General features: G+C 40.8%; 1 annotated feature.

Moving 5' to 3' along the window:
• Window positions 1-17,372: part of a centromere (Linear centromere model derived predominantly from reads generated in PMID: 17803354. This region does not represent an actual centromere sequence, as long-range ordering of repeats and unmapped WGS contigs is not provided by the model. For details of model production, see http://arxiv.org/abs/1307.0035.) that runs on past both edges of the window.

Here is a 17,372-nt window from a genome sequence, read left to right on the forward strand (position 1 = left end):
ACCGTAGTAAAGGAAATAACTTCCCATAAAAAGAAGACAGAAGCATTCTCAGAACCCTCTTCGTGATGTTTGCATTCAACTCACACTGCTGAACCTTTCTTTGATAGTTCAGCTTTCAAACACTCTTTTTGTAGAAACTGCAAGTGGATATTTGGTCCTCTCTGAGGATTTCGTTGGAAACGGGATAAACCGCACAGAACTAAACAGAAGCATTCTCAAATCCTTCTTCGTGATGTTTGCATTCAACTCACAGTGTTGAACCTTTCTTTGATAGTTCAGGTTTGAAACGGTCTTTCTGTAGAAACTGCAAGTAGATATTTTGACCTCTCTGAGGATTTCATTGGAAACGGGATAAACCGCACAGAACTAAAACAGAAGCATTCACAGAAAACTCTTGGTGACGACTGAGTTTAACTCACGGAGCTGAACATTCCTTTGGAGGGAGCAGGTTCGAAACACAGTATTTGTAGAATGTGCAACTGGATATTAGGGCCTCTCTGAGGATTTCGTTGGAAACGGGATAAACGGCACAGAAATAAACAGAAGCATTTTCAGAAACTACTTTGTGATGATTGCATTCAAGTCACAGAGCTGAACATTCCCTTTGACAGAGCAGTTTGGAAACTCTCTTTGTGTAGAATCTGCAAGTGGAGATATGGACCGCTTTGAGGCCTATGGTAGTAAAGGAAATAGCTTCATATAAAAGCTAGACAGTAGCATTCTCAGAAACTTCTTTGTGATGCTTGCATTCAACTCACAGAGTTGAACTTTCCTTTCGAGAGAGAAGCTTTGAAACACTCTTTTTCCAGAATGTGCAAGTGGACATTTGGGGAGCTTTGAGGCCTGTGGTGGAAAAGGAATTATCTTCCCGTAAAAGCTAGATAGAAGCATTGTCAGAAACTTCTTCGTGATGATTGCATTCAACTCACAGAGTTGAAGGTTCCTTTTCAAACAGCAGTTTCCAAACACTCTTTCTGTGGAATCTGCAAGTGGATGTTTGGACCTCTTTGAAGATTTCGTTGGAAACGGGAGAATCTTCACAGAAAAGCTAAACAGAAGCTTTCTCAGAAACTTCTCTGTGATGTCTGTGTTCAACTCCCAGAGTTTCACATTGCTTTTCATAGAGTAGTTCTGAAACATGCTTTTCGTAGTGTCTGCAAGTGGACGTTTGGAGCGCTTTCAGGCCTGCGGTGGAAAACGAATTATGGTCACATAAAAACTGGAGAGAAGCCTTCTGAGAAACTTCTCTGTGATGATTGCATTCATCTCACAGAGTTGAACCCTCCAATGGATAGAGCAGTGTTGAAACTCTCTTTTTGTGGAATCTGCAAGTGGATATGTGGACCTCGCCGAAGATGTCTTTGGAAACGGGAATATCTTCACATAAAAACTAAACAGAAGCATTCTCAGAAACTTCCTGGTGATGTTTGCATTCAAATCCCAGAGTTGAACCTTCCTTTGATAGTTCAGGTTTGAAACACTCTTTTTGTAGGATGTGCAAGTGGATATTTGGACCACTCTGTGGCCTTCGTTCAAAACGGGTACATCTTCGCATAATATCTAGACAGAAGCATTCTCAGAAAATACTTTGTGATGATTGAGTTTAAATCACAGAGCTGACCATTCCTTTGGATGGAGCAGGTTTGAGACACACTTTTTGTAGAATCTACAAGTGGATATTTGGACCTCTCTGAGGATTTCGTTGGAAACGGGATAACTGCACCTAACTAAACGGAAGCATTCTCAGAAACTGCTTTGTGATGATTGCATTCACCTCACAGAGTTGAACATTCCTATTGATAGAGCAGTTTGGAAACACTCTTGTTGTGGAATGTGCAAGTGGAGATTTGGAGCGCTTTGAGGCCTGTGGTAGTAAAGGGAATAGCTTCATAGAAAAACTAGACAGATGCATTCTCATGGAACATCTTTTTGGTGATGTTTGTATTCAACTCCCAGAGTTGAACTTTCCTTTGGAAAGAGCAGCTATGAAACACTCTTTTTCTAGAATCTGCAAGTGGACGTTTGGAGGGCTTTGTGGTTTGTGGTGGAAAAGGAAATATCTTCACCTAAATACTAGATAGAGGCATCCTCAGAAGCTTCTCTGTGATGACTGCATTCAACTCACGGAGTTGAACACTCCTTTTGAGAGCGCAGTTTTGAAACTCTCTTTCTGTGGCATCTGCAAGGGGACATGTAGACCTCTTTGAAGATTTCGTTGGAAACGGAATCATCTTCACATAAAAACTATACAGAAGCAGTCTCAGAATCTTCTTTGTGATGTTTGCATTCAAATCCCAGAGTTGAACTTTCCTTTCAAAGTTCACGTTTGAAACACTCTTTTTGCAGGATCTACAAGTGGATATTTGGACCACTCTGTGTCCTTCGTTCGAAACGGGTATATCTTCACATGACATCTAGACAGAAGCTTTCTCAGAAAATTCTTTGGGATGATTGAGTGGAATTCACAGAGCTGAACATTCCTTGCGATGTAGCAGTTTAGAAACACACTTTCTGCAGAATCTGCAAGTGCATATTTGGACCTCTCTGAGGAATTCGTTGGAAACGGGATAATTTCAGCTGACTAAACAGAAGCATTCTCAGAACCTTCTTCCTGATGTCTGCATTCAACTCACAGTGTGGAACCTTTCTTTGATAGTTCAGGTTTGAAACACTCTTTTTGTAGAAACTGCAAGGGGATAATTGCACTTCTTTGAGGCCTACCGTAGTAAAGGAAGTATCTTCCTATAGAAAGAAGACAGAAGCATTCTCAGAACCTTCTTCGTGATGTTTGCATTCAACTCACAGTGTTGAACCTTTCTTTGATAGTTCAGGTTTGAAACGGTCTTTCTGTAGAAACTGCAAGTAGATATTTGGACCTCTCTGAGGATATCGTTGGAAACGGGATAAACCGCACAGAACTAAACAGAAGCATTCACAGAAAACTCTTGGTGACGACCGAGTTTAACTCACAGAGCTGAACATTCCTTTGAATGGAGCAGTTTCGAAACACACTATTTGTAGAATGTGCAAGTGGATATTTGGGCCTCTCTGAGGATTTCGTTGGAAACGGGATAAACCGCACAGAACTAAACAGAAGCATTCTCAGAAACTACTTTGTGATGATTGCATTCAAGTCACAGAGTTGAACATTCCCTTTGACAGAGCAGTTTGGAAACCCTCTTTGTGTAGAATCTGCAAGTGGAGATATGGACCGCTTTGAGGCCTATGGTAGTAAAGGAAATAGATTCATATAAAAGCTAGACAGTAGCATTCTCAGAAACTTCTTTGTGATGCTTGCATTCAACTCACAGAGTTGAAATTTCCTTTCGAGAGAGAAGCTTTGAAACACTCTTTTTCCAGAATGTTCAAGTGGATATTTGCAGGGCTTTGAGGCCTGTGGTGGAAAAGGAATTATCTTCCCGTAAAAGCTAGATAGAAGCATTGTCAGAAACTTCTTTGTGATGATTGCATTCAACTCACAGAGTTGAAGGTTCCTTTTCAAACAGCAGTTTCCAATCACTCTTTCTGTGGAATCTGCAAGTGGATATTTCGACCTCTTTGAAGATTTCGTTGGAAACGGGAGAATCTTCACAGAAAAGCTAAACAGAAGCATTCTCAGAAACTTCTCTGTGATGTTTGTGTTCAACTCCCAGAGTTTCACATTGCTTTTCATAGAGTAGTTCTGAAACATGCTTTTCGTAGTGTCTGCAAGTGGACATTTGGAGCGCTTTCAGGCCTGTGGTGGAAAACGAATTATGGTCACATAAAAACTGGAGAGAAGCCTTCTCAGAAACTTCTCTGTGATGATTGCATTCAACTCACAGAGTTGAACGCTCCTATGGATAGAGCAGTGTTGAAACTCTCTTTTTGTGGAATCTGCAAGTGGATATGTGGACCTCTCCGAAGATGTCTTTGGAAACGGTAATATCTTCACATAATAACTAAACAGAAGCATTCTCAGAAACTTCTTGGTGATGTTTGCATTCAAATCCCAGAGTTGAACCTTCCTTTGATAGTTCAGGTTTGAAACACTCTTTTTGTAGGATCTGCAAGTGGATATTTGGACCACTCTGTGGCCTTCGTTCGAAACGGGTACATCTTCGCATAAAATCTAGACAGAAGCATTCTCAGAAAATACTTTGTGATGATTGAGTTAAAATCACAGAGCTGAACATTCCTTTGGATGGAGCAGGTTTGAGACACACTTTTTGTAGAATCTACAAGTGGATATTTGGACCTCTCTGAGGATTTCGTTGGAAACGGGATAACTGCACCTAACTAAACGGAAAGCATTCTCAGAAACTGCTTTGTGATGATTGCATTCACCTCACAGAGTTGAACATTCCTATTGATAGAGCAGTTTGGAAACACTCTTGTTGTGGAATGTGCAAGTGGAGATTTGGAGCGCTTTGAGGCCTATGGTAGTAAAGGGAATAGCTTCATAGAAAAACTAGACAGTGCATTCTCAGGAACTTTTTGGTGATGTTTGCATTCAACTCCCAGAGTTGAACTTTCCTTTGGAAAGAGCAGCTATGAAACATTCTTTTTCTAGAATCTGCAAGTGGACGTTTGGAGGGCTTTGTGGTTTGTGGTGGAAAAGGAAATATCTTCACCTAAATACTAGATAGAAGCATTCTCAGAAGCTTCTCTGTGATGACTGCATTCAACTCACGGAGTTGAACACTCCTTTTGAGAGCGCAGTTTTGAAACTCTCTTTCTGTGGCATCTGCAAGGGGACATGTAGACCTCTTTGAAGATTTCGTTGGAAACGGAATCATCTTCACATAAAAACTATACAGAAGCAGTCTCAGAATCTTCTTTGTGATGTTTGCATTCAAATCCCAGAGTTGAACTTTCCTTTCAAAGTTCGCGTTTGAAACACTCTTTTTGCAGGATCTACAAGTGGATATTTGGACCACTCTGTGTCCTTCGTTCGAAACAGTTATACCTTCACATGACATCTAGACAGAAGCTTTCTCAGAAAATTCTTTGGGATGATTGAGTTGAACTCACAGAGCTGAGCATTCCTTGCGATGTAGCAGTTTAGAAACACACTTTCTGCAGAATCTGCAAGTGCATATTTGGACCTCTCTGAGAAATTCGTTGGAAACGGGATAATTTCAGCTGACTAAACAGAGGCATTCTCAGAACCTTCTTCTTGATGTCTGCATTCAACTCACAGTGTGGAACCTTTCTTTGATAGTTCAGGTTTGAAACACTCTTTTTGTAGGAACTGCAAGGGGATAATTGCACTCTTTGAGGAGTACCGTAGTAAAGGAAATAACTTCCTATAAAAAGAAGACAGAAGCATTCTCAAAACCCTCTTCATGATGTTTGCATTCAACTCACAGTGCTGAAACTTTCTTTGATAGTTCAGCTTTGAAACACTCTTTTTGTAGAAACTGCAAGTGGATATTTGGTCCTCTCTGAGGATTTCGTTGGAAACGGGATAAACCGCACAGAACTAAGCAGAAGCATTCTCAGAACATTCTTCGTGATGTTTGCATTCAACTCACAGTGTTGAACCTTTCTGTGATAGTTCAGGTTGGAAACGGTCTTTCTGTAGAAACTGCAAGTAGATATTTGGACCTCTCTGAGGATTTCGTTGGAAACGGGATAAACCGCACAGAACTAAAACAGAAGCATTCACAGAAAACTCTTGGTGATGACTGAGTTTAACTCACAGAGCTGAACATTCCTTTGGATGGAGCAGTTTCGAAACACACTATTTGTAGAATGTGCAAGTGGATATTTGGGCCTCTCTGAGGATTTCGTTGGAAACGGGATAAACCGCACAGAACTAAACAGAAGCATTCTCAGAAACTACTTTGTGATGATTGCATTCAAGTCACAGAGTTTAACATTCCCTTTGACAGAGCAGTTTGGAAACTCTCTTTGTGTAGAATCTGCAAGTGGAGATATGGACCGCTTTGAGGCCTATGGTAGTAAAGGAAATAGCTTCATATAAAAGCTAGACAGTAGCATTCTCAGAAACTTCTTTGTGATGCTTGCATTCAACTCACAGAGTTGAACTTTCCTTTCGAGAGAGAAGCTTTGAAACACTCTTTTTCCAGAATCTGCAAGTGTAGATTTGGAGGGCTTTGAGGCCTGTGGTGGAAAAGGAATTATCTTCCCGTAAAAGCTAGATGGAAGCATTGTCAGAAACTTCTTTGTGATGATTGCATTCAACTCACAGAGTTGAAGGTTCCTTTTCAAACAGCAGTTTCCAATCACTCTTTCTGTGGAATCTGCAAGTAGATATTTGGGCCTCTCTGAGGATTTCGTTGGAAACGGGATAAAACGCACAGAACTAAAACAGAAGCATTCTCAGAAACTTCTCTGTGATGTTTGTGTTCAACTCCCAGAGTTTCACGTTGCTTTTCATAGAGTAGTTCTGAAACATGCTTTTCGTAGTGTCTGCAAGTGGACATTTGGAGCGCTTTCAGGCCTGTGGTGGAAAACGAATTATGGTCACATAAAAACTGGAGAGAAGCCTTCTCAGAAACTTCTCTGTGATGATTGCATTCAACTCACAGAGTTGAACCCTCCTATGGATAGAGCAGTGTTGAAACTCTCTTTTTGTGGAATCTGCAAGTGGATATGTGGACCTCTCCGAAGATGTCTTTGGAAACGGGAATATCTTCACATAAAAACTAAACAGAAGCATTCTCAGAAACTTCTTGGTGATGTTTGCATTCAAATCCCAGAGTTGAACCTTCCTTTGATAGTTCAGGTTTGAAACACTCTTTCTGTAGGATCTGCAAGTGGCTATTTGGACCACTCTGTGGCCTTCGTTCGAAACGGGTATATCTTCGCATAAAATCTAGACAGAAGCATTCTCAGAAAATACTTTGTGATGATTGAGTTTAAATCACAGAGCTGACCATTCCTTTGGATGGAGCAGGTTTGAGACACACTTTTTGTAGAATCTACAAGTGGATATTTGGACCTCTCTGAGGATTTCGTTGGAAACGGGATAACTGCACCTAACTAAACGGAAGCATTCTCAGAAACTGCTTTGTGATGATTGCATTCACCTCACAGAGTTGAACATTCCTATTGATAGAGCAGTTTGGAAACACTCTTGTTGTGGAATGTGCAAGTGGAGATTTGGAGCGCTTTGAGGCCTATGGTAGTAAAGGGAATAGCTTCATAGAAAAACTAGACAGATGCATTCTCAGGAACCTTTTGGTGATGTTTGTATTCAACTCCCAGAGTTGAACTTTCCTTTGGAAAGAGCAGCTATGAAACACTCTTTTTCTAGAATCTGCAAGTGGACGTTTGGAGGGCTTTGTGGTTTGTGGTGGAAAAGGAAATATCTTCACCTAAATACTAGATAGAAGCATTCTCAGAAGCTTCTCTGTGATGACTGCATTCAACTCACGGAGTTGAACACTCCTTTTGAGAGCGCAGTTTTGAAACTCTCTTTCTGTGGCATCTGCAAGGGGACATGTAGACCTCTTTGAAGATTTCGTTGGAAACGGAATCATCTTCACATAAAAACTATACAGAAGCAGTCTCAGAATCTTCTTTGTGATGTTTGCATTCAAATCCCAGAGTTGAACTTTCCTTTCAAAGTTCACGTTTGAAACACTCTTTTTGCAGGATCTACAAGTGGATATTTGGACCACTCTGTGTCCTTCGTTCGAAACGGGTATATCTTCACACGACATCTAGACAGAAGCTTTCTCAGAAAATTCTTTGGGATGATTGAGTGGAACTCACAGAGCTGAACATTCCTTGCGATGTAGCAGTTTAGAAACACACTTTCTGCAGAATCTGCAAGTGCATATTTGGACCTCTCTGAGGAATTCGTTGGAAACGGGATAATTTCAGCTGACTAAACAGAAGCATTCTCAGAGCCTTCTTCGTGATGTCTGCATTCAACTCACAGTGTGGAACCTTTCTTTGATAGTTCAGGTTTGAAACACTCTTTTTGTAGAAACTGCAAGGGGATCATTGCACTTCTTTGAGGCCTACCGTAGTAAAGGAGATAACTTCCTATAAAAAGAAGACAGAAGCATTCTCAGAACCTTCTTCGTGATGTTTGCATTCAACTCACAGTGTTGAACCTTTCTTTGATAGTTCAGGTTTGAAACGGTCTTTCTGTAGAAACTGCAAGTAGATATTTGGACCTCTCTGAGGATTTCGTTGGAAACGGGATAAACCGCACAGAACTAAACAGAAGCATTCACAGAAAACTCTTGGTGACGACTGAGTTTAACTCACAGAGCTGAACATTCCTTTGGATGGAGCAGTTTCGAAACACACTCTTTGTAGAATCTGCAAGTGGATATTTGGGCCTCTCTGAGGATTTCGTTGGAAACGGAATAAACCGCACAGAACTAAAACAGAAGCATTCTCAGAAACTACTTTGTGATGATTGCATTCAAGTCACAGAGTTGAACATTCCCTTTGACAGAGCAGTTTGGAAACTCTCTTTGTGTAGAGTCTGCAAGTGGAGATATGGACCGCTTTGAGGCCTATGGTAGTAAAGGAAATGGCTTCATATGAAAGCTAGACAGTAGCATTCTCAGAAACTTCTTTGTGATGCTTGCATTCAACTCACAGAGTTGAACTTTCCTTTCGAGAGAGAAGCTTTGAAACACTCTTTTTCCAGAATGTGCAAGTGGACATTTGGAGGGCTTTGAGGCCTGTGGTGGAAAAGGAATTATCTTCCCGTAAAAGCTAGATAGAAGCATTGTCAGAAACTTCTTTGTGATGATTGCATTCAACTCACAGAGTTGAAGGTTCCTTTTCAAACAGCAGTTTCCAATCACTCTTTCTGTGGAATCTGCAAGTGGATATTTCGACCTCTTTGAAGATTTCGTTGGAAACGGGAGAACCTTCACAGAAAAGCTAAACAGAAGCATTCTCAGAAACTTCTCTGTGATGTTTGTGTTCAACTCCCAGAGTTTCACGTTGCTTTTCATAGAGTAGTTCTGAAACATGCTTTTCGTAGTGTCTGCAAGTGGACATTTGGAGCGCTTTCAGGCCTGTGGTGGAAAACGAATTATGGTCACATAAAAACTGGAGAGAAGCCTTCTCAGAAACTTCTCTGTGATGATTGCATTCAACTCACAGAGTTGAACCCTCCTATGGATAGAGCAGTGTTGAAACTCTGTTTTTGTGGAATCTGCAAGTGGATATGTGGACCTCTCCGAAGATGTCTTTGGAAACGGGAATATCTTCACATAAAAACTAAACAGAAGCATTCTCAGAAACTTCTTGGTGATGTTTGCATTCAAATCCCAGAGTTGAACCTTCCTTTGATAGTTCAGGTTTGAAACACTCTTTTTGTAGGATCTGCAAGTGGCTATTTGGACCACTCTGTGGCCTTCGTTCGAAACGGGTATATCTTCGCATAAAATCTAGACAGAAGCATTCTCAGAAAATACTTTGTGATGATTGAGTTAAAATCACAGAGCTGAACATTCCTTTGGATGGAGCAGGTTTGAGACACACTTTTTGTAGAATCTACAAGTGGATATTTGGACCTCTCTGAGGATTTCGTTGGAAACGGGATAACTGCACCTAACTAAACGGAAGCATTCTCAGAAACTGCTTTGTGATGATTGCATTCACCTCACAGAGTTGAACATTCCTATTGATAGAGCAGTTTGGAAACACTCTTGTTGTGGAATGTGCAAGTGGAGATTTGGAGCGCTTTGAGGCCTGTGGTAGTAAAGGGAATAGCTTCATAGAAAAACTAGACAGATGCATTCTCAGGAACTTTTTGGTGATGTTTGTATTCAACTCCCAGAGTTGAACTTTCCTTTGGAAAGAGCAGCTATGAAACACTCTTTTTCTAGAATCTGCAAGTGGACGTTTGGAGGGCTTTGTGGTTTGTGGTGGAAAAGGAAATATCTTCACCTAAATACTAGATAGAAGCATTCTCAGAAGCTTCTCTGTGATGACTGCATTCAACTCACGGAGTTGAACACTCCTTTTGAGAGCGCAGTTTTGAAACTCTCTTTCTGTGGCATCTGCAAGGGGACATGTAGACCTCTTTGAAGATTTCGTTGGAAACGGAATCATCTTCACATAAAAACTATACAGAAGCAGTCTCAGAATCTTCTTTGTGATGTTTGCATTCAAATCCCAGAGTTGAACTTTCCTTTCAAAGTTCACGTTTGAAACACTCTTTTTGCAGGATCTACAAGTGGATATTTGGACCACTCTGTGTCCTTCGTTCGAAACGGGTATATCTTCACACGACATCTAGACAGAAGCTTTCTCAGAAAATTCTTTGGGATGATTGAGTGGAACTCACAGAGCTGAACATTCCTTGCGATGTAGCAGTTTAGAAACACACTTTCTGCAGAATCTGCAAGTGCATATTTGGACCTCTCTGAGGAATTCGTTGGAAACGGGATAATTTCAGCTGACTAAACAGAAGCATTCTCAGAACCTTCTTCGTGATGTCTGCATTCAACTCACAGTGTGGAACCTTTCTTTGATAGTTCAGGTTTGAAACACTCTATTTGTGGAAACTGCAAGGGGATAATTGCACTTCTTTGAGGCCCACCGTAGTAATGGAAATAACTTCCTATAAAAAGAAGACAGAAGCATTCTCAGGACCCTCTTCGTGATGTTTGCATTCAACTCACAGTGCTGAACCTTTCTTTGATAGTTCAGCTTTGAAACACTCTTTTTGTAGAAACTGCAAGAGGATATTTGGTCCTCTCTGAGGATTTCGTTGGAAACGGGATAAACCGCACAGAACTAAACAGAAGAATTCTCAGAGCCCTCTTCGTGATGTTTGCATTCAACTCACAGTGCTGAACCTTTCTTTGATAGTGCAGCTTCGAAACACTCTTTTTGTAGAAACTGCAAGTGGATGTTTGGTCCTCTCTGAGGATTTCGTTGGAAACGGGATAAACCGCACAGAACTAAAACAGAAGCATTGTCAGAAACTTCTTTGTGATGATTGCATTCAACTCACAGAGTTGAAGGTTCCTTTTCAAACAGCAGTTTCCAATCACTCTTTCTGTGGAATCTGCAAGTGGATATTTGGGCCTCTCTGAGGATTTCGTTGGAAACGGGATAAAACGCACAGAACTAAAACAGAAGCATTCTCAGAAACTTCTCTGTGATGTTTGTGTTCAACTCCCAGAGTTTCACGTTGCTTTTCATAGAGTAGTTCTGAAACATGCTTTTCGTAGTGTCTGCAAGTGGACATTTGGAGCGCTTTCAGGCCTGTGGTGGAAAACGAATTATGGTCACATAAAAACTGGAGAGAAGCCTTCTCAGAAACTTCTCTGTGATGATTGCATTCAACTCACAGAGTTGAACCCTCCTATGGATAGAGCAGTGTTGAAACTCTCTTTTTGTGGAATCTGCAAGTGGATATGTGGACCTCTCCGAAGATGTCTTTGGAAACGGGAATATCTTCACATAAAAACTAAACAGAAGCATTCTCAGAAACTTCTTGGTGATGTTTGCATTCAAATCCCAGAGTTGAACCTTCCTTTGATAGTTCAGGTTTGAAACACTCTTTCTGTAGGATCTGCAAGTGGCTATTTGGACCACTCTGTGGCCTTCGTTCGAAACGGGTATATCTTCGCATAAAATCTAGACAGAAGCATTCTCAGAAAATACTTTGTGATGATTGAGTTTAACTCACAGAGCTGAACATTCCTTTGGATGGAGCAGGTTTGAGACACACTTTTTGTAGAATCTACAAGTGGATATTTGGACCTCTCTGAGGATTTCGTTGGAAACGGGATAACTGCACCTAACAAAACGGAAGCATTCTCAGAAACTGCTTTGTGATGATTGCATTCACCTCACAGAGTTGAACATTCCTATTGATAGAGCAGTTTGGAAACACTCTTGTTGTGGAATGTGCAAGTGGAGATTTGGAGCGCTTTGAGGCCTATGGTAGTAAAGGGAATAGCTTAATAGAAAAACTAGACAGATGCATTCTCAGGAACTTTTTGGTGATGTTTGTATTCAACTCCCAGAGTTGAACTTTCCTTTGGAAAGAGCAGCTATGAAACACTTTTTGTAGAATCTGCAAGTGGACGTTTGGAGGGCTTTGTGGTTTGTGGTGGAAAAGGAAATATCTTCACCTAAATACTAGATAGAAGCATTCTCAGAAGCTTCTCTGTGATGACTGCATTCAACTCACGGAGTTGAACACTCCTTTTGAGAGTGCAGTTTTGAAACTCTCTTTCTGTGGCATCTGCAAGGGGACATGTAGACCTCTCTGAAGATTTCGTTGGAAACGGAATCATCTTCACATAAAAACTATACAGAAGCAGTCTCAGAATCTTCTTTGTGATGTTTGCATTCAAATCCCAGAGTTGAACTTTCGTTTCAAAGTTCACGTTTGAAACACTCTTTTTGCAGGATCTACAAGTGGATATTTGGACCACTCTGTGTCCTTCGTTCGAAACGGGTATATCTTCACATGACATCTAGACAGAAGCTTTCTCAGAAAATTCTTTGCGATGATTGAGTTGAACTCACAGAGCTGAACATTCCTTGCGATGTAGCAGTTTAGAAACACACTTTCTGCAGAATCTGCAAGTGCATATTTGGACCTCTCTGAGGAATTCGTTGGAAACGGGATAATTTCAGCTGACTAAACAGAAGCATTCTCAGAACCTTCTTCGTGATGTCTGCATTCAACTCACAGTGTGGAACCTTTCTTTGATAGTTCAGGTTTGAAACACTCTTTTTGTAGAAACTGCAAGGGGATAATTGCACTTCTTTGAGGCCTACCGTAGTAAAGGAAATAACTTCCTATAAAAAGAAGACAGAAGCATTCTCAGAACCCTCTTCGTGATGTTTGCATTCAACTCACAGTGCTGAACCTTTCTTTGATAGTTCAGCTTTGAAACACTCTTTTTGTAGAAACTGCAAGTGGATATTTGGTCCTCTCTGAGGATTTCGTTGGAAACGGGATAAACCGCACAGAACTAAACAGAAGCATCCTCAGAACCTTCTTCGTGATGTTTGCATTCAACTCACAGTGCTGAACCTTTCTTTGATAGTTCAGCTTTGAAACACTCTTTTTGTAGAAACTGCAAGTGGATATTTGGACCTCTCTGAGGATTTCGTTGGAAACGGGATAAACCGCACAGAACTAAAACAGAAGCATTCACAGAAAACACTTGGTGACGACTGCGTTTAACTCACAGAGCTGAAAATCCCTTTGGATGGAGCAGTTTCGAAAAACACTATTTGTAGAATGTGCAAGTGGATATTTGGGCCTCTCTGAGGATTTCGTTGGAAACGGGATAAACCACACAGAACTAAACAGAAGCATTCTCAGAAACTACTTCGTGATGATTGCATTGAAGTCACAGAGTTGAACATTCCCTTTGACAGAGCAGTTTGGAAAATCTCTTTGTGTAGAATCTGCAAGTGGAGATATGGACCGCTTTGAGGACTATGGTAGTAAAGGAAATAGCTTCATATAAAAGCTAAACAGTAGCATTCTCAGAAACTTCTTTGTGATGCTTGCATTCAACTCACAGAGTTGAACTTTCCTTTCGAGAGAGAAGCTTTGAAACACTCTTTTTCCAGAATCTGCAAGTGGACATTTGGAGGGCTTTGAGGCCTGTGGTGGAAAAGGAATTATCTTCCCGTAAAAGCTAGAGAGAAGCATTGTCAGAAACTTCTTTGTGATGATTGCATTCAACTCACAGAGTTGAAGGTTCCTTTTCAAACAGCAGTTTCCAATCACTCTTTCTGTGGAATCTGCAAGTGGATATTTGGACCTCTTTGAAGATTTCGTTGGAAACGGGAGAATCTTCACAGAAAAGCTAAACAGAAGCATTCTCAGAAACTTCTCTGTGATGTTTGTGTTCAACTCCCAGAGTTTCACATTGCTTTTCATAGAGTAGTTCTGAAACATGCTTTTCGTAGTGTCTGCAAGTGGACATTTGGAGCGCTTTCAGGCCTTTGGTGGAAAACGAATTATGGTCACATAAAAACTGGAGAGAAGCCTTCTCAGAAACTTCTCTGTGATGATTGCATTCAACTCACAGAGTTGAACCCTCCTATGGATAGAGCAGTGTTGTAACTCTCTTTTTGTGGAATCTGCAAGCGGATATGTGGACCTCTCCGAAGATGTCTTTGGAAACGGGAATATCTTCACATAAAAACTAAACAGAAGCATTCTCAGAAACTTCTTGGTGATGTTTGCATTCAAATCCCAGAGTTGAACCTTCCTTTGAGAGTTCAGGTTTGAAACACTCTTTTTGTAGGATCTGCAAGTGGATATTTGGACCACTCTGTGGCCTTCGTTCGAAACGGGTACATCTTCGCATAAAATCTAGACAGAAGCATTCTCAGAAAATACTTTGTGATGATTGAGTTTAACTCACAGAGCTGAACATTCCTTTGGATGGAGCAGGTTTGAGACACACTTTTTGTAGAATCTACAAGTGGATATTTGGACCTCTCTGAGGATTTCGTTGGAAACGGGATAACTGCAGCTAACTAAACGGAAGCATTCTCAGAAACTGCATTGTGATGATTGCATTCACCTCACAGAGTTGAACATTCCTATTGATAGAGCAGTTTGGAAACACTCTTCTTGTGGAATGTGCAAGTGGAGATTTGGAGCGCTTTGAGGCCTATGGTAGTAAAGGGAATAGCTTCATAGAAAAACTAGACAGATGCATTCTCAGGAACTTTTTGGTGATGTTTGTATTCAACTCCCAAGAGTTGAACTTTCCTTTGGAAAGAGCAGCTATGAAACACTCTTTTTCTAGAATCTGCAAGTGGACGTTTGGAGGGCTTTGTGGTTTGTGGTGGAAAAGGAAATATCTTCACCTAAATACTAGATAGAAGCATTCTCAGAAGCTTCTCTGTGATGACTGCATTCAACTCACGGAGTTGAACACTCCTTTTGAGAGCGCAGTTTTGAAACTCTCTTTCTGTGGCATCCGCAAGGGGACATGTAGACCTGTTTGAAGATTTCTTTGGAAAGGGAATCATCTTCACATAAAAACTATACAGAAGCAGTCTCAGAATCTTCTTTGTGATGTTTGCATTCAAATCCCAGAGTTGAACTTTCCTTTCAAAGTTCACGTTTGAAACACTCTTTTTGCAGGATCTACAAGTGGATATTTGGACCACTCCTGTGTCCTTCGTTCGAAACGGGTATATCTTCACACGACATCTAGACAGAAGCTTTCTCAGAAAATTCTTTGGGATGATTGAGTGGAACTCACAGAGCTGAACATTCCTTGCGATGTAGCAGTTTAGAAACACACTTTCTGCAGAATCTGCAAGTGCATATTTGGACCTCTCTGAGGAATTCGTTGGAAACGGGATAATTTCAGCTGACTAAACAGAAGCATTCTCAGAACCTTCTTCGTGATGTCTGCATTCAACTCACAGTGTGGAACCTTTCTTTGATAGTTCAGGTTTGAAACACTCTTTTTGTAGAAACTGCAAGGGGATAATTGCACTTCTTTGAGGCCTACCGTAGTAAAGGAAATAACTTCCTATAGAAAGAAGACAGAAGCATTCTCAGAACCCTCTTCGTGATGTTTGCATTCAACTCACAGTGCTGAACCTTTCTTTGATAGTTCAGCTTTGAAACACTCTTCTTGTAGAAACTGCAAGTGGATATTTGGTCCTCTCTGAGGATTTCGTTGGAAACGGGATAAACCGCACAGAACTAAACAGAAGAATTCTCAGAGCCCTCTTCGTGATGTTTGCATTCAACTCACAGTGCTGAACCTTTCTTTGATAGTGCAGCTTTGAAACACTCTTTTTGTAGAAACTGCAAGTGGATGTTTGGTCCTCTCTGAGGATTTCGTTGGAAACGGGATAAACCGCACAGAACTAAAACAGAAGCATTGTCAGAAACTTCTTTGTGATGATTGCATTCAACTCACAGAGTTGAAGGTTCCTTTTCAAACAGCAGTTTCCAATCACTCTTTCTGTGGAATCTGCAAGTGGATATTTGGGCCTCTCTGAGGATTTCGTTGGAAACGGGATAAAACGCACAGAACTAAAACAGAAGCATTCTCAGAAACTTCTCTGTGATGTTTGTGTTCAACTCCCAGAGTTTCACGTTGCTTTTCATAGAGTAGTTCTGAAACATGCTTTTCGTAGTGTCTGCAAGTGGACATTTGGAGCGCTTTCAGGCCTGTGGTGGAAAACGAATTATGGTCACATAAAAACTGGAGAGAAGCCTTCTCAGAAACTTCTCTGTGATGATTGCATTCAACTCACAGAGTTGAACCCTCCTATGGATAGAGCAGTGTTGAAACTCTCTTTTTGTGGAATCTGCAAGTGGATATGTGGACCTCTCCGAAGATGTCTTTGGAAACGGGAATATCTTCACATAAAAACTAAACAGAAGCATTCTCAGAAACTTCTTGGTGATGTTTGCATTCAAATCCCAGAGTTGAACCTTCCTTTGATAGTTCAGGTTTGAAACACTCTTTCTGTAGGATCTGCAAGTGGCTATTTGGACCACTCTGTGGCCTTCGTTCGAAACGGGTATATCTTCGCATAAAATCTAGACAGAAAGCATTCTCAGAAAATACTTTGTGATGATTGAGTTTAAATCACAGAGCTGACCATTCCTTTGGATGGAGCAGGTTTGAGACACACTTTTTGTAGAATCTACAAGTGGATATTTGGACCTCTCTGAGGATTTCGTTGGAAACGGGATAACTGCACCTAACTAAACGGAGCATTCTCAGAAACTGCTTTGTGATGATTGCATTCACCTCACAGAGTTGAACATTTCTATTGATAGAGCAGTTTGGAAACACTCTTGTTGTGGAATGTGCAAGTGGAGATTTGGAGCGCTTCGAGGCCTATGGTAGTAAAGGGAATAGCTTCATAGAAAAACTAGACAGATGCATTCTCAGGAACTTTTTGGTGATGTTTGTATTCAACTCCCAGAGTTGAACTTTCCTTTGGAAAGAGCAGCTATGAAACACTGTTTTTCTAGAATCTGCAAGTGGACGTTTGGAGGGCTTTGTGGTTTGTGGTGGAAAAGGAAATATCTTCACCTAAATACTAGATAGAAGCATCCTCAGAAGCTTCTCTGTGATGACTGCATTCAACTCACGGAGTTGAACACTCCTTTTGAGAGCGCAGTTTTGAAACTCTCTTTCTGTGGCATCTGCAAGGGGACATGTAGACCTCTTTGAAGATTTCGTTGGAAACGGAATCATCTTCACATAAAAACTATACAGAAGCAGTCTCAGAATCTTCTTTGTGATGTTTGCATTCAAATCCCCGAGTTGAACTTTCCTTTCAAAGTTCACGTTTGAAACACTCTTTTTGCAGGATCTACAAGTGGATATTTGGACCACTCTGTGTCCTTCGATCGAAACGGGTATATCTTCACATGACATCTAGACAGAAGCTTTCTCAGAAAATTCTTT

The sequence above is a fragment of the Homo sapiens genome, chromosome 17, assembly GCF_000001405.40.
Source record: "Homo sapiens chromosome 17, GRCh38.p14 Primary Assembly".
In the NCBI taxonomy this organism is placed as follows: domain Eukaryota; kingdom Metazoa; phylum Chordata; class Mammalia; order Primates; family Hominidae; genus Homo; species Homo sapiens.